The sequence below is a fragment of the Homo sapiens genome, chromosome 10, assembly GCF_000001405.40.
Source record: "Homo sapiens chromosome 10, GRCh38.p14 Primary Assembly".
NCBI lineage: Eukaryota > Metazoa > Chordata > Mammalia > Primates > Hominidae > Homo > Homo sapiens.
In genome coordinates this window covers 43765124-43783530 of record NC_000010.11, presented here as the reverse complement: position 1 = coordinate 43783530, position 18407 = coordinate 43765124, and the positions used below count along the sequence as shown (strand labels likewise).

Genomic DNA, 18407 nt, shown 5'->3' with positions numbered 1-18407 from the left:
ATTTAGAAAGAGAAGGTTTATGGGGAAATCAGGTGGAGGAAAGAGGTCAGGGAAACAGTACAGGGAGCAGTTCTCTGGTCAACGCCAAGAGTCGTTCCCTTGCCAGGCATGGCAGGGCTTGGTCGTGGCCTGGGTTTTGAGCCATGACAGAGGAAGTTACTGGCCTTTGAACTAGGCTGATGGATTTGCTCCATCTTGGGCTAGGAGACAATGATTGAGGTCAGCTATCAAAGCCTTTCTATGAAACCTCCAGAAAGTAACCACAGCTCAGACCTAAGACTGCTCAGTGGCCTGAGAGCCAACAACATGGGCCTGTGAGGGGAGAGATGACCACAGGCCCCAAGCCGTTGTCCCTCCCTATCTGTCCCAGGCTCAGACACTGCCAGCTTCTGCACGTGATTCTTGGTTCAGCCCCTTAGGTTCCCATGCTGTGGAAATTCCCCCAGGATTCTGAAGACCAGGTGAGTGGCCTCAGTAGGAGCACAGCCCTGGGGTCCAGGAAGGGCTAGACATGACACCCATCGTGCCCCTTGCTGGCTGAGTCTGTGGGGTTGTGCATGCCTGGGCGGGTGGGTGTCCTCTGTAAGTGGGGTCAGTTACTCCGCCAACCTTGATGAGCTGCTGGAAGTACCCAGCATGATACCTGGTATGCAATACACATGCAGTAAGAATCTGTTAGTATCCAAGCGTTTCTGTTTCTTCCTAGGTCTTTTCATGGAAAGGGAGAGGAGGTTGTATCTGGAATTCTTACCAGGTGCCATTTTCCATGGAAACCTAAAATATATTTTGGAATCATGTAGAGCTAGTCCCTTCTCCTAGTTTTCTTTTTAAAGTTTCCTAATTGCTTTTCTATATAGGTTTGTACAGATTCTCTAAAGTAGCCTAAGAATCTGAATGGTCCTGGGTTGAGTTTGGTGCTCCTGGCTGGGAAGGGGTGAGGCCCACTGCTGAGAAGTGACTGACGTCTAGCTGTGGCCCCAAAAGAAGGTGGAAGGAAGCAGCGTCCGGCTCTCTGTGACTCCATCCACACAGGAGGGCTTGCCCACACCATCATGACGGGCTGAATATTTGGAAACTTGGAAACTCAGAATTCAGTTTTGGTCTCCTCCACTCTCAGGAAACCCAGATGACATGTGTCTGTGCATGCACATGGCCCTTTGGCTACACAGGGCAAAGTGAAGGCTGGTGGGGCCCCTGGAAATAAGCAAATAAAGAGCAGCCCCCACTGTCTTCAGGGGCTTGGTGTCCTGCAGTGGGAGGTCAGTGCCCCTGCAGAGCCTGCCCTGTCTTGCCACCAGTGCCTCCCAGAAGCCTGGCCCCATGCAGGAAGTGCTTATCAGTGAGATTGTTGAAGAGCAAACAGTCAATGTGGTCTCTACCACAACTGGCATGATTAATTTAGGGGCTGAGTCAGCTGGCTATGACAATTTTTGTCCCCTTCTGCATATAGAAACCAAAACTCTACTGTAGGCTGGTTGTGGGGAGAGGGCATTAAACTCTGACAGGTTGCAAATGTCCTGGGGAAAATGACCTCTGCTCCCTCTGCTCCCACCCGGATCCCTGCTCTGGAGGCCTGGACTAATTAGCGTCTGGCAGGTGTCTGGAAAGAGCTGCCTGGCCGGCCATGGTGACATCATGGCTGGGCATTGCTCCCCCATTCCACTGCTGAGAAAGTCTCTGTTTCATTAGGCTTCCAGGATTACTTTTTAATTTTTTTTAATCCCCTTTGTAGGTTCTGGCTCCAATCAGTCTTGGAGAACATTCTGCACGCTCCTTCCCACTCCCACTGCCTCAACAACTGTGCTCCAGTTAAAGTTACTGTTCCCGGAGGAGTGAGGCTCACCTTCCCCAGGCAGCAGGCGCAGCCCTACAACCCAGCCCCCACACATCAGCACCAGCAACCCACACTGCTGTTGCTTTATACTCATATACTAGGGATGGAGATTTCAATGTGGCTGCTGTGTTCTCAACTTTGTGCTTTTCAGATGTTTCTAAAGGGCTTCTTCATCACCTCACTTGTTCCTGGATTGTAGTTGGAATGCAATTTAGATACTTCAAATAGTTAAGTTGGTTCAGACATTTGTAGTCTTGGGAATAATCCACTTGATAAGTTGTGGAATAAAAAAAGCTAAAAACCTGTGTTCACGGAACTATACAAAACAAAGAGTGAACCCTACAGTAACCTAGGGACTTTAATTAATAAGAATTCATCAGTATTGGTTCATCCATTGTACAAACATTCCACATTAATGCAATATGTTTGTAATAGGGAAACTGGGGTCAGGGGAGAGCATGTGGGAACTCTCCATTGTGTCTGCTCCACTTTTTTAAGCCAAAAACTGCTCTCAAAAATTGTCTGTTAATTTAAAAATAGTAATATGAGCAGGAGAGAAGTAGATGGTGGCATAGATGAAATAAGATTAGCCCATAGTTGGGGTAATTTTTGAGAATGGGTGATGGGTCTGTGGGTGGGGGTTCATTATAAATTATGAAACTCATAATTTTAATACAGTTTTTTTTAACAAAACTTATACTAATTCAACAATGTGTCTTTTCTCATTACAAAATAATTCACATACACTGTAGATATTTGAAAAATATTAGAAAGTACCTATAATGAAGTCACCCAAAAATATCTATCATCAGCATTTTGATATGGCTATATATACAGATAACAAAATGGGGGTCTTACTGAGGAAGCAGCTTAGGGCCCTGTCCTTTTCTTCAACTTTGTAATGTACTAAGAACATCTTCCCATGTCTTAAAATAACTCCAAAAGCATGCTTTTTAAATAGCCACATAACATTTCATGGTATAACTGAAGTCCAGAAATTGAATTCCCACCTTAATGGCCCTCGTCTCGTCTGGCTGAGATCATCAGAGGTGTGAGTCTGCCATGCACATCAGGCCTGCAGCAGAGAAGCCTGACAGTAAGAAGGCCCTTTGGCCTTGGTGTCCAGCTGGGGGTGAATTTCTCACATTCAAGTTGTAAATGCACCTCCACGCTGTGTAACAGGGTGGAAAAGGCACATTTCCCCTTTGGGATGTACATAACCTCGGGTAGATTTACTATTTACAAAAAGGCAGAGGCTGGACTTGAGTATTCAGGGCCCTAACGTGAGTGTCGTTGCTTTCCTTGGACCAGAGGCCCAGGTGGGGTCCAGGGGGTGCCCAGGAATCAAGATAATTTCTGCACCACTGAGTCACCCTGACCTTCCCTCCTGCCCAAGAAAGCACGTCAGAGGGCAAGTGAGTGAGAATGATGTTACAGCAATAAAATTCACTTACAAACTAGCAAACCCTTGAACTCAACCTCCCTCCCAACTGTGGCTGCAAACCACCCAGAGGATGGCCCACTGGCTGCAGGTGGGCCCAGGAGCCCAAGGCTGGGCCTAATGATGGGTCTTCTCAGATAACCATCCCTCTCCTGGGGCAGAGAATCAAGGTTAAAGTTGGATTGCAATGGGACCCAGAAGCCGAGTAGATGGAATGCACCCTGGCCAGACTGTAGATCATACATCTAATGAGACTTCTAGCCAGATATGGAAGAAGCAGATTCTCAGTGCACGAGCCAGTTCTTCCAGAAGCTAAGCAGATACAGGCGCCAGCCCACCAAGACCTTTGCCAAAGGTATTTTCTTCACATACCTGGAGAGAAAAGAGGGCCTACAACTTTAAATCTGAGGAATATGTTTTCTAAAAGCCAGGTCCCTTGCCAATATATCCGGATCTTTATCTTGGAGAGTTTATCTAATCAGACAACACCAAGGAGTAAAATCCATACTTCAGAGGAACTGGCACCGTCAAGAAACTCACGGAATACCCGTGTGTCTGGGTCAAGGGGAGTCCTCCACCTTCACCCGTGTGGGAAGGATTGCTCCATCAGTCAGCCGAATTCCTGAGAATCACAGGGTCCACGGCTTTCAGGTGCATCTGTGGGGAGGTGCCTTCCCTTGTGAATAGGTCCCGTGTCAAGAGTCTCGTGGACACCACTGAGGCCATGGAGCTGAGTACTGGGCGGATTAATCAGAGATTCAAGTCCTCAGTCCAGAGGGCTGGCTCCAAAGGACATGCAGTCAACCAGATATGGAAGAAGAGGAAAGGCTTCTGTCAAGGGAAACAGCCTTTCGTGGACCGCAGGAAGCTCAGAGAAGCCAGGGAACGCTACTCCCAGACTACAGGGAGCCGTTCTGTAGACATGCAGTGGAGACAGATGTGAATAGAGTATCCCACCAATAGCCGTCTCCCCCCATTTTTAGGAAATGGATCTCCTCTTCAACGCTGTGGTTGGGGCAGGTCTGTTTGACCCCCGAGGTACTCAGATCTGCTTGCCCCTGAAGTCTGTGAAAGCAACAACCAGCTCTTCCTTGATCTGACTGGGGAGCTGAGGGGACTCAAAGGAAACCAGTAGAAAGCTTCAAAGTGACAGAGACGGGGCTGAGAGAGAAACGATGCCAGCATTGACTACTGAGGCTCCTTGGGCAGCTTCCCCAGGCCTGCCCGGGCTTCTTTCACTTGGCCCTGACAAGGCTGGATGAGAGGGGGCATTCTTGCTCCTCATCAGAGGCTGCACATGTTAGAGACTCTAGAACATGGAATGTTCCTCTCTCAGCAAGGGATGGCTGGGAACATGATTCCAGAGGGCACTGTGACCTAGCCAGCCACAGGGGGAAGAACCCCAGGTCCTGAGCGTGCTCTTTGAGGAGAAGGTTCTGACAGAGTAGGAAGTGGGCTGTGGGGTCACGTTGTTCCCACTTCACCACAGTGAAAGCCTGCCAGGAAACACATCCCGGAAATGAGATCTACTCTAGAAAATACAAGGAAGGTGAGACAGATAGAATCAAGGAACTAAAGGTAAACAGGCCATGGGACGAAACCACTGAGAGTCAAGAAAATGCCATTTTGAAAGAACATAAGGACAAAAGACTAAACTTTGAAGGTTATTGAGAGGTAAAATATACAAGCAAAATAAGCTAAAGGAATTAGAATAAATAAAAGTAAGAGCTGTTAAAGACCAATAAACTCAATAGATAATGAAAATGAAAACACTTATTATCCACAATAGCATATTAGTTAAATTATGATAGATTATATGTGGTGAAATGATAGTATATCTCTGAACATAGTGTTCCAGAAAGACCAGCAATGAACAATATATAATATGTTCTTGGCATAGTACATGATAAAAGTAAACATAGTACAATTCCAACCTAAATATATATATATACATATGTGTGTAGACAAATACCATTAAGTATTTATAGAAGCATGTGTGTGTGTCTATGCAAATGTGCAGCATAGATAAAAATATAAAAGGAAATATAGCAAAGTGCTAACAGTGGTTAACTCTGGCATTATTACTAATTACTAATTTTAAAAATAACAGTACTTTCTAAAAACTCTTTACAATGATTCTGAATTACTTTTATTGCCTGAAAGAAAAAGTTTTTCAAAACTTTTACAAAAAAGTAAAAAGATGGCTTAAATATATATCTATGGATAAATGAAGTTTTGTGTTGTTTTAAAGTTATTCTACTAGAGAAATTTAATTTTTACTTAGAGAGATGTTACACAAGGAGAAATACTTCAAATGATATTCTTTATATAATATGAGGATATAATGTTCATTTATTCCTTAGAAGGTATGTATTCCACATTAGTTCATGGATACTCTTGCCCAGGTACTGGGAAGGTAACAAACCAGGCAGACACCTGTCCTCCATGATCTCATATGGACGTGGGAGCTGATCACTGCATATGTGTAGACACAAAGGGAACAAGGACTGCCGCGCCTACCTGAGGGCAGAAGATGGAGCATGAGGATTAAAAACTACCCATGGGGTATTGTGCTTATTCCTTATTAGAGACAAAGTAATCTGTACGTCAAACCCCCACAACACGCAATTTACCCGTGTAAAAAACCTGCACTTGTACCCCTTGAGCCGAAAATAAAAGTTGTAAAGAAAAAAATCTGTCTTCTAAGGGTTACACAGTGGCTGGGAGAAATACACAATCAGTAAAGAGCATGCCCAATGGTGAGAAGGGCAAAAAAAAAAAGAGAGAGAGAGAGAGCAAAAGGGATGGTTGGTTCTAGGAATCTGCTGTAATTTTAAATAATCAAATGGTAAAGAACAAGTCCCCAAGAAGGTGACTTTTGGGCAAAGACCTGGAGGAGGTGATGGCGCCATCCTGTAGACAGGTGTGCAAAGGTGTCCAGGCAGGTGAGCCAGTGCCTTGCATGGCCAAGGAGGCAGGAGGCCGGTGTGCCCCATGGAGTAGGGGAAGGGGAGTAGATGAGGGCAAAACGTGACTTTGGCTATGACTGTGAGCGAGCTAGGAGGTCTGGAGGGCCATACGCTGAGAAGAATACAGCAAAGGATATAGCTGGCCAGGGCTGCGCATGCCCAAATGCACCTGCTTGCCTCTCCAGGACCCTCTTTCAGCACCATCGAAGTGTGCAGCTCAGGGCTCCAACTCACACTTCAGCTAAGGGAGATGCAAGTTGCTGGGGGCTTATCATCATGTGTTTCCATAAAATATCATAGTCAGTCAAAGTAAAACCAAATTCAAATTACACAATTTGGAGGAACGAAATATGTTAAAAAGGACTTGAACAAAGATAGAGGCATCGTAAGTGGGAAGCTTGAAGCAGCCATGAGGCTGACTAAGCACACATTGCCAGGAAGCAAGTGGGGGGCTCAGAGCCTTAAGGTCTAGGATGTTGTGAAGCCGATGCCTTTCAGGTGACATCCAGGACACTGAGTTAAAGGCAGCAGGTCGTCCAACCCAACCATCACCATGAAAGTTTCCTAAAATGGGTTGTGTGGCAGCCTTACCACAGCCAAGGCAGGACAGACCATTCTTTGACCAGAAGCTTCTGAGAGAAGCAGAGCTGAGTTGCCCCCAGGCCTAGACACAGGTAGCATGGCTGGGTGGGGAGGTCCAGGGTGGCCATGGCTCTGGGTTTAGGGATCACCCTGGGGTCATGACCTTAGTCGGTTAGTTTGATGGAGCATCTTTATCCAAAGATGTGGTGCTGCCTCTTCTCAGTGCATTTCATGATCACATATTCCCAGCAGACCCAGAGTGAAAGGGAGCTCTACAGCAAGCACAGGACACACTGAACTCCAGACTGCCATGCCCGGTGGCCTCCTCACTGCAGCTTCGCCAGGGAAGGAAACTACTCCAACCTCAGGAGAACACACGGGCCACTGCCCATTCCCAAGAATGACACAGAGCTGGATTGGGGAAGGCTTCCCTGCCAATGTCAGCACCTGCCATGCAAGTGAGGACTCTTCTGGCCAGCTTGGCTGCTAGGTTCAGCAGAGTACAATGAGACGGATCCCTCAATGTAAATTCCCCCTGGTCTGAATGGAATGTAGCTCTCTCAAGAGGGAGCCTGGGAAACCTGGAGGGCCTGAGGACCTAGAGAAATCTGTGTGATTATTTCCATTTTTGGTCTCCATCATCAGGAGATTGCAGGTTTCAGTTTTTAAAATATGCTCTTTAGTCTTTCTCCAGCCATTATTGATGGAGAGCTTGTTAAGTCTAAAAAATGAGAGTTCTTGGAATTATAGATTGAATCATGGATGAAACCTCTTAATAAAGGGGCTATCCTGACACATTCTTCTAGGATAAACCCTCAGCCCAGTCTTACTTTCCCAGTTTCTGAGAACTACTTTAGGGAAAGTCCCTGCTTCTGTGCACAGAGTTAACCAGTGCTACTGTTCTGGTGGTTGGGGCCGGTTGAGCGACTGTGTTATCAGTGGAGCCGCTCTCTTTATTGTACAGAAACAGATGCTTTCTGCCTATGGAGGAAGAAAGGGGACCATGGCTGAGTGGCGTGGAGAAGCGCAGCCTCAGCTCGCTGGCCAGGCCCTGACTGTCAGGTCAACACCAACAGTTCGTGGTGAAACGTGATACTTGACACCTTTCCTGAGGAGCTCAAGGCTGGAACCTAGGGATTAGATGAAGCTTTACGAGGCAGTCACTGGAGCAAGGCGATAGAGCCATGATTCACGCTGCCCCCAATGAGACCCGCCAGGCCTCATTTGTCCTTTCCAGGGAGTGGTAGCAGCCGTCACAGTGCCCAGCACTTTGCCATTTACAAGGAACTTCTGCATTGATTATTCCCTTTGAGACTGAGACCAATGTGTGAGATTAAGTGAAGACCACATCAGGAGAGCTAAGTGACTTGCCAGAGGTCGTGAGAGGCAGAGTGGCAGGGCCTGAACTTCTGACCCCAAGTGGACTCTCTTGGGGAGCCTCCTGTTCCTCCGCACTGCCCTGCTGTAGGTGAGCTCACACTGTCAACATAGTCCACCACTGCTCACACTGTCCACATAGTCCCCCACTGCCATGTACAAACGCCTTCTCTAGGAGTCCGAATTGATTGGGCTGAGCCTATGTATCCTTCAAAACAAGGAGTCTCCCCAGCAGACTTCCTCCTACCTGCAGAGGTGAGCTAGTCCCCTCTTCTCTGGGCTACGCCTGTCTAAGTGGTCAGCTATTGTTTCTTACTACTATGTACTATAAGTGACTTATTTGCATGTTGAGCTCTTAGCCTGTGAATTCCTTAGGACAGCAACTACTTCTGGACAGGTGGAGAGAGGAGAGTTCTTGAGCATGTGGTCTTTGGAATAAGGCTGCCTAGGATGGGATCCCAGGCTCACCACATAAGAGCACTTACAAGAAAACTGCTTCACTCTCTGTGCCTTCCTTCTCCCGTCTGTAAAATAGGGGCGAGAACAATATTGCCAACCTCTAGGATTATTGTGAAGATGAAAGCAGCTAATCATGTAAATCATTGGAACAAACATCCTAAATGTGCATGAATTGTAAAATTGATCAATTAAATGTAGTATATTCATGCAATGGAAAAAATATTCTCCATCTATTACCAGGAAACAAGCACATCTAAACCCATCATCATTGTGCTCAGTGTGATCATCATCATCATCATCATCATCATCATCATCATCATCATCATCGTGTTTGCATCCTGAGCTTCTACCACAGCCGGCCACACAGCAGGTGTTCCATAAAGGCATGTCAAGTGAATGAACAAATGAACACATTTATCAAACAGCTGGTGGCTTTTCCCTTTGAGACTGAGACCAACGTGTGAGGTCTCAGCCGGGGGAAAACAGAAATGTTCTTACCCTCATCTGGGGCAGTCACAGCTGCCTGGACCATATCTAAAAACACTACGATCACTGCTTCCTCAACAAAATAATACACAGGAAATTCAATGAGTTGAATTTAGTGTTCCTAAGTTAATTTACCCAAATGAAAAGCAAAGGACTCCAGGCCAAAGAGTCAGGCTCACTTATTCATTAATAAATATTGTACAAACTAAGAAATCTTGTTTCTGTCCAGGCAAAGTTGCCTGGCTGGAAATGCTGGGAGCCCATCAGAAACCCCAAGCACATGGATATAGGATGGAAGAGCCTGGAAGGGAATCCAATATATCCTTCCTTACTCTTTTTAGGATGTTTTAGAGCAAACTAAAAGGGTAACCACCACAGAAAACTACCAACACAGAGATTTTCACACAAAGCTCTCTGGGGTGTGCATGTGTTTGTGCAGTTCTTTATGTGTGCTCTGTTGAGTCATTAAAGGGAAAGGAAGCAGTTTCAAGAAACTTGTAATGGGAAATGGGATGTTTACATTGATAAGCTGTCATTAAAAAAAAATAAAGTCAAGTCTTTCGTGTTCAAAAAAGCAGCTATCAAAAAGGAAGAGATCTTTTGTAAAAATCAGAAAATGCCAAAATCTCAGATAATTAAAGTATGTGATATTTGTATACCATGTTCCATTTACAAAGCTCTTTTAGGTGATTTAATTTTTGAAAGGTTAAATATGAATTTTTATAAATAAACACTGTAGTAACTATCATATGATCTCAAACAGAAATATATCAGAATTTTTACTGCAGTCTTTTTCGTTATAGTGAAAAATCTGAAATAGCAGAAATGCAAATGAATAGGTGAGTTGGTGAATTAAATGTGGCATATTGATACAAGGGGAAAATATCACAGAGAAATTGTAAAATTATATATATATATATATATATATATATATATATAGATCGACAGGGATAAATTCCAAAAACAATTTAAGTGTAAAAAAAGGAACTACCAGTATGACATAGTGACATTTATGGTGTGATAAAACTTTTACAAATTTCCATTAACTTCCATATGGAAAAAAAGTTCCATAAACTTCCAATGATATGACTGACCATAGCAGCAGGGTAGTTTTTTTAATGTTCCAAACTCCTTAAAACTAAACAGATCAAATATGAAAGTGGAAAAAATGAATCTATGGATAACATCTTCAACACCACCAGGTAATGGAGAGTCCTTTATGACCTGAATAAAAGTAGTGGTGAGCAGGAGTGTGGGAGGTCAGCAGCTGTGGGTCTAAGTTAGGGAAATGAGGGAAAAGCCAACGTACCCTAAAAGTCATGAACACCAAAACAAAAGAAAATACAAACAAAGACACCAACAAAACTCACATCCAAGATTTTCAAAACCTACTAGGAAGATTGAGAAAACAGGTATAATGGCATATGCATTGTTTGTGAATTCTCCTGAGAGCCCCTGTCCTTATAAACAGAGCTCCTAGGAAGACCCAAAAGCCCATAGGCAATATAATATATACTAAAACATCTAGATGACAACGTATCTTCATAAACCCAAAATTATAAAGCAGGAACAAGCCACTTACAGCTATGTGAGCTGCATGAGACAATGACACTTCTAGTAACACTGGCAACCAACAAACAAAAAAATTCCAAAAAGTACAAATTAGCAAGACAGGTCAATCTGAGAACAGTAGTTGAAATTTTGAAATAGAGTACTTATTTTTCAAAAACTATTTTGTTTGTGTGGATAACACCAGACAAAAATAACAAAACATTTAAAATGGAAGAAATATCAGATTGGCATCAGACATTTTAACAGCAACATTTTGTGCCAAATGACAATGGAATTACATATTTAATATGCTCAAGGAAATGAATGAGGCCAGGGATTTTACATCCAGTTAGACTAATATTTAAAGGCTTAAGGCAGTCTCTTATTAAAAAAAAAAAGCAAAAACTCAACACATCTTACTCCCATGAGTCACTCATGAGGCGTCTACTGGAACTAAATTGCCATATGGAGTGATAATGATGACTGTCAAAGGCTGTTAACATCACAAGAGAAAAATCAGACATTATGTGCTTCGTTGTTGAAGTACACAACTACCTATGAAATATTCTTGTCAAAAAAATTGTATCATCCAGATCTATCTACCAATCTACATGAAATACAGAGAATAGAGGAGCATGTCAAATAACACAATGGAGAGAAAATCAGTAAATTCAGGCAGGGAAAATCTCTACACAAAAATAAACCGTTTCCTTCAACAAGGAATAATCTGACATTTGCCAGTTTTTACAAAAGCTCTCTTATTTTTTGATAGCCACTGTTTTGGACAGGAAAGACCTGACTTATTTTTTTTTAATTACAGCTTATCAAAGTAAATATGCCATTTTCCTTTGTAAGTTCCTTGAAACTGCTACCTTTCCCTTTAATGGCTCAAAATCAAACAGAAAAAAAATAAAATTGTTAAAGTAAACAGCTCATGGGTAAGCTGCAGCACAACTTCAAGCAGTCTGGCATACATGTAAGTCGAGTCTCTAAAGGGGAAGAGAACGAGGAGAGAAAATAAATATTTAAAGAAATGAGGACTGGAATTTTCCAAATTTAAGGAAAATTATAAATTCACAGATCTAAGAAGCTGAATGAACCCCAAGCATAAGAAATATGAAGAAAACTACACTGAGGTACATCATAAACAAATTTCTTGAAAACAGTGATAAAGAGTATATTTTTTAAGTAGCCAGAGAATGAAAGGTATGTCATATACAGGTAATCAAAGACAAGGATAACAAATTTCTTACTGAAAACTATTCAAACAAGAATGCAATAGAGGATGCAATAGAGCAAAGAGAATGCAATAGAGCAAATTTTTAAGGTAGAGGTGAGCAAAAAGAAAAACTGGTGAAATAAGAATTCTACATCCTTCATATTGTTAGGTTTAAATCTATCATCTCATTTGTTTTGTTTTTTTCTCATCAATTCTTTGTTTCCCCCTATATGTATGCCTTTTTAAAATTAAATATTTTATATGATCCCATTTTATGTCTGTTTTTGCTTATTAGTAATGGTTATGATTTGTAAAGTGTAATTATGTTTCAAAATTAAGGACAAAATAAGGACTTTCAGTCATATGAAAGTTGAAATCATTTAATTCACCAGCAAATGCAAAATATACAGAAATGACAAAGAAAGTACCAGATGGAAATGTGGATCTGTAAAAGTGTATGAAGAGCATGGAGACTGGTAAAAACAAAAGTAAAATATGTTTTATTATTTAAATATCTTGAATATTATTTAAATATCTTTGTTTAAAGAGTAAATATTAAGTATTTAAACAAAAATAACTATAGCATAAGGTTTATATAACATATGTAGATGTTAAACGTATGACAATAATAGCACAATGCCAGGAGAGCAGAAATGGAAGTATACTATTATAGGGCTTTATTAAGTATTCATGAAATGGTATAATATTAGTTAAAGACAGACTGCAATAAATTAAAGATATATACTATAAACTCTAAAGTAACCACTAAAATACTAAAATAACAAAACAAATAACTATCACAAATCATAACTATCACTAGCAGGCAAAAATTGACATAAAATGGAATTATACGAAATATTTAATAAATCTTAAAAAGGCATACAAATAAAAGGGAAACACTCATGAGAAAAATACAGAATAAATGAGATGACAGATTTAAGCCTAACAATATCAATGATAACATTAAATGTAAATAACCTAAATAGCCCAATTAGAAGACAGAAATTGTCAGCTAAAATCAAAAAATCAAGACCCAAAAAATGCACTTAATAAAGTTGTGGGACTCAAAATTAACATAAAAAATTAGTTGCACTTCTTTACACCAATAACAGTCTATCTGAAAAAAGTGTCAAGAAAACAATCCCACTTATGATAGCATCAAGAGGAATAAAATACTTAGGAATATATTTAACCAAGTTAGTGAAAGACCTGTACACTGAAAAGTATAAAAACATTGGGAAAAGAAATTAAAGAAGACACAAACAAATGGAAAGATATCTGATGTTTATGGACTGGAGTAATGAATATTGTTAAAATCCCCATACTACTCAAAGTAATATACAGATTCAATGCAATCTCTATCAAAATCCCAATGGCATTTCTAAGTAAATAAAAAAAGCAATTCTAAAATATATATGGAACCACAAGAGATACCAAATAGCCAAGACAGCCTTAAGAAAGAGTAACAAAGTTGGAGACATCACACTTTTGGATTTCAAATTATAGTACCAAGCTATAATAATCAAAAGAGTATGTTACTGACCAAAAGCAAAACAAAAAAAAAAAAAAAAAACAGGCAAATAGACCAGTGGAACAGAATAGAGAGCTCAGAAATAAAACCAAGCAAATATAGTCAAATAATTTTTGACAAGCACATCAAGAAGGCACAATGGGGAGAAAGATAGTCTTTTCATTAATGGTATTGGGAAAATATAAATTTAAAATTATATAAACAGACATTTCTCAAAAGGAGATATATAAATGGCCAATAAACATATGGTTTACATACAAAAGAATAAAATTGGATACTTACATCATACACAAAAATTAACTCAAAATGGATTAAAGACTTAAACATAAGACCTGAAACAATAAAACTCCTAGAAGAAAATATAGAGGGAAAACTCCTTGTTATTGGTTTTGGCAATGATTTTTTGAATATCACACAAAAAGTTCTGGCAGTGATGCAAAAATAAAAAATGAAACTACACCAAACTAACAGCTTCTGTACAGCAAAAAAAAAAACTAACAAGATGAAAAGGTAGCCAATGGATTGGGAGAAAATATTTTCAAGCCATATATCTGATAATGGGTTAATATCCAAAATATACAGGGAACTCATGCAACTCAATAGCAAACTAAAAAGTAAAAACAACCCAATCAATAAATTGGCAATGACCTGAACAGATATTTTTCCAAGTAAGACATAAAAATGGTCAACAGGTATCTGAAAAGGTGCTCAACATCACTAACCATCAGGGAAATGCAAATCAAAACCATGATGAGATATCACTTTACACCTGTTAGAATGACTATTATTTAATAAATAAATAAATAACAAGAGATAACAAGCGCTGGCATGGGTGTGCAGAAAAGGGATCTCTTGTATGCTGTTGGTGCAAATGTAAATTGGTATGGCCATTATGGAAAATGGTACAGAGGTTCTTTGAAATATTAAATATAGGACTACCACGTGACCCAGCAATCCCTCTGCTGAGTGTATACACAAAGGAAATGAAATCAGCACTTCATAAAGATATCTGTGTCCCATATTCCTTGTGGCATTATTTACAATAGCCAAGATATTAAAACAATGTAACTGTCCATCAATGGATGAATGAATGAAGAAACTGTGGTATACTTACATAATGAAATACTATTCAACCTTTAAAAAGGATATACTGCCATTTACAATAACATGGATGAACCTAGAAGACATCATGTTAAGTGAAGAAAACCAGACACAAAAATAAAAACAGTGCATGATCTCACTTACATGTGCAATCCAAAAAATTTTACTCTTTCTACAGAGAGTAGAATAGTGGTTTTCAGGGTAGGATGGGGAAGGAATGGGGAGACGTAGGTCAAAGGTACAAATTTGCAGTTAGGTAAGATGAGTAAGTCTAAAGAACTAATGTACAGCAAGAGGACTATAGTTAATAATATTGTATTATATATTGAAAATTTGCTGGCAAAGTAGATTTTAGGTGCTCTTACCACAAAAACAGAGATTACTGTGGAAAATTATAGATATATTAATTTGTTTACCTGTTGTCATTTCAGTATGTATATGTATATCAAAACATCATGTTGTATATCTTAAGTACATGCAATAAATAATCAATTTTCAAAATACATATATAATCAAAAATGCATTTTACATAAAGACACAAATAGATTAAAAATGAGGGGAAAAAATATACCATGCTAACACTGATACAAAGAAAGCTAAAGAGGCCATATTAATATCAGACAAGGTGGATTTCAGAGCAAAGTGTGTTACTAAAGATAAAAAATACCATTTCAAAGTGTTAAATGGATCAATTCATTAAGATAATATATACATCCTCAATTTGTAGGCATTTAGTAACAGTTTAAAAATACACAGAGATACTAACAAAAATAGTCACAAAAACAATAAGAGAAAAAGAATGGAAAACATAGACCATGCTAGCACTAATCTAAAGAAAATTGGACTGACTATAGTAATATCAGACAAAGTAGATTTCAGTGCAAAGAATATTATCAGGGATAATAATGGTCTTTTCATATTGATAAAAGGGTGAATTCATCAAGAGGACGTAGCAATTGTAAACATTTATGCACCTAATAACAGAGTTTCAAAATACATGAAGCCACTATGATAAAATATTTTAATACCCTTCACTCTACAATTAATAAAACAAAGAGAGAGAAAAGCAGGAAGAATTTTAGAAGACCTAAATAAAACTATCAACTAACATGACATGATTGACATTAATAGTTCACCCAAAACAGCAGAATACACATTTTTTCAGGTGCACATAGAATATTCACCAAGAAAGACCATATTCTGGGCTATAAAATAAGTGTTAATAAAACCAAAAGGATTCAAGCTGTATGAAATTTAAAATTATATAAACAGACATTTCTCAAAAGGAGATATATAAATGGCCAATAAACATAGGAAAAAAATGCTCAACAACACTAATCATCAGGGAAATGCAAATTAAAACCACAATGAGATCCCACTTCACCCCAGCCAGAATGGCCATGATTAAAAAGTCAGAAAGCAACAGATATAGGCACAATGTTGTGAAAGGGTAATGTTTATACACTGCTGGTGGGAATGTTAAATTAGTGCAACCTCTATGGAAAACAGTATGGAGATTTCTCAAAGAACTAAAAGTAGGCCTACCAAAGGAAAAGAAGTAATTATAGAAAACACACACACCTGCATACATAGGTTTTTTTTGTTTGTTTTCTTATTTGGTTTTGGTTTGGGTTGGGGGAAGTGCTGAGCTTTACATATTTATTAACAAGGTAATTAATCAGTAGATTACCATAGAGCATTATTTCTTTTTTTTTTTCAACTTCTATTTCAGATATGGGGGTACATGTGCAGGTTTGTTACATGGGCATATCACACCCAGGTATTGAGGATAGTGCCCAGTAGGTAGCTTTTCAACCTATGTCCTCCTCCCTCCTTCCTCCCTCTAGTAGTCCACAGTATCTATTTTTCTCATGTTTGTGTCCATGTGTGCTCAATATTTAACTCTAACTTATAAGTGAGAACATGCAGTATTTAGTTTTCTGTTCATGCATTAATATGCTTAGGATAATGACTTTCACCTCCATCCATGTTAATGCAAAGGACATGATTTCATTCTTTTTATGACTTTGTAGTGTTCCATGGTGTATACATACCACATTTTCTTTATCCAATCCACCACTGATGGGCACCTAAGTTGATTCTATGTCTCTGCCATCATGAATACCATGGTGATGAACATACAAGTGCATATGTCTATTTGGTATAATGTTTTATTTTTATTTGGGTATATACCCAGTAATGGGATTGCTGGGTCAAATGGTAGCTCTGTTTTAAGTTCTTTGAGAAATCTCCAAACTGCTTTCCACAGTGGCTGAACTAACTTATTATACATTCCCACCAACAGTGTATAAGTGTTCCCTTTTCTCCATGGCCTTGCTAACAGCCATTCTGACTGGTATGAGATGGTACCTTATTGTGGTTTCGATTGCATTTCTCTGATGATTAGTGATGATGACCATTTTTTCATATGTTTCTTGTCCACTTGTCTTCCCTGAGAAGTGTCTGTTTAATGTCCTTTGCCCGTTTTTAATGGGCTTATGTTTTTGGCTTGTTGATCTGTTTGAGTCCCTTATAGATTCTAGATATTGAACCTTTGTCAGATGCATAGTTTGCAAATATTTTTTCCCATTCTGTAGGCTTTTTATTCTGTTGAAAGTTTACTTTATGGTACAGAAGCTCTTTAGTTTAATTAGGTCCCACTTACCAATTTTTTTGTTTCAGTTGTTTTTAGGGACTTAGCCAAAAATTATTTGCCAAGGCCAATGTCAAGAAGAGTATTTCCTAGGTTTTCTTCTAGAATTTCTACAGTTTGAGTTCTTACATTTAAATCTTTAATCTATCTTCAGGTTTTTTTTAATATGATGAAAGATCAGGGTCCAGTCTCATTGTTCTGCATATGGCTAGCCAGTTATCCCAGCACCATTTATTGAACAGAGAGTTGTTTCCCCACTGGTTTTTGTCAGCCTTGCCAAAGATCAGATAGTTATAAGTTATGGCTTTATTTCTGAGTTTTCTGTTCTGTTCCATTGGTCTACGTGTCTGTTTGTACCAGAACTATGCTGTTTTGGTTACTGTGCCCTTATATTGTAGTTTGAAGTCAGGTAGTGCGATGCCTCTGGCTTTGCTCTTTTTGCCTTAGGATTGCTTTGGCAATTTGGGCTCTTTTTTTATTTCATATGAATTTTAGAATTGTTTGCTAATTCTGTGGAGAATGACATTGGGTAGTTTCATAGGAATAGCATCGAATCTGTAAATTGCCTTGGGCTGTATGACTATTTTAACAATATTGATTCTTCCTATTCATGAGCATGGAATGTTTTTCCATTTATTTGTGTCATCACTCTGATTTCTCTCAGCAGTGTTTTGTAGTCCTCCTTGCAGAGATCTTTCACCTCCTTGTCTAGCTGTATTCCTGGTATTTCATTTTCTTTGTGGCTGTTGTAAATAGGATTGTGTTCTTGATTTGACTCTCAGCCTGGACATTATTGGTATATAGAAATGCTACTGATATTTTACATTGATTTTGTATCCTGAAATCTTACCATAATTGTTTATCAGTTCTAGCAGCCTCTTGGCAGAGTCTTTAGGGTTTTCTAGGTATAGAATCATATTCTCAGTGAAGAGAGGTAGCTTGATATCTTCTCTTCTTATTTGAATGCCTTTTCTTTCTTTCTCTTGTCTGCTTGCTCTGGCTAGAACTTCCTGCACCCATGTTTATTGGCAGCACAATTCCCAATTGCAAAGATCAACCTAAGGCCCACCAACTGATGAGTGGATAAAGAAAATGTAGTATACACATACCATAGAATACTTCTCAGCCATAAAAAAAGAATGAAATAATGGCTTTTGCAGCAACTTGCATGGAACTGGAGGCCACTGTCCTAAGTGAAGTAACT

The 18407-nt window shown here is 39.6% G+C and overlaps 2 long non-coding RNA genes across 3 annotated transcripts in view; one reads left to right on the top strand and one right to left on the bottom strand.

Moving 5' to 3' along the window:
- LOC105378275 (uncharacterized) overlaps positions 1–4585 on the bottom strand; it is a 39799-nt gene extending 35214 nt beyond the window's left edge. Inside the window, exon 1 of the long non-coding RNA XR_945906.4 lies at positions 3648–4585. This is a non-coding gene — a long non-coding RNA (uncharacterized LOC105378275). The remainder of the gene's footprint in view (positions 1–3647) is intronic.
- A 43-nt stretch (positions 4586–4628) lies between these two features.
- LINC02658 (long intergenic non-protein coding RNA 2658) lies at positions 4629–5969 on the top strand. 2 transcript variants are annotated; one of them, NR_134483.1, is made up of 2 exons: positions 4629–4949; positions 5681–5969. It is a non-coding gene; the product is annotated as a long intergenic non-protein coding RNA 2658 (long non-coding RNA). The 2 variants fall into 2 exon arrangements; NR_134484.1 differs by having other exon boundaries at positions 4706–4824.
- Positions 5970–18407: the final 12438 nt, after the last annotated feature.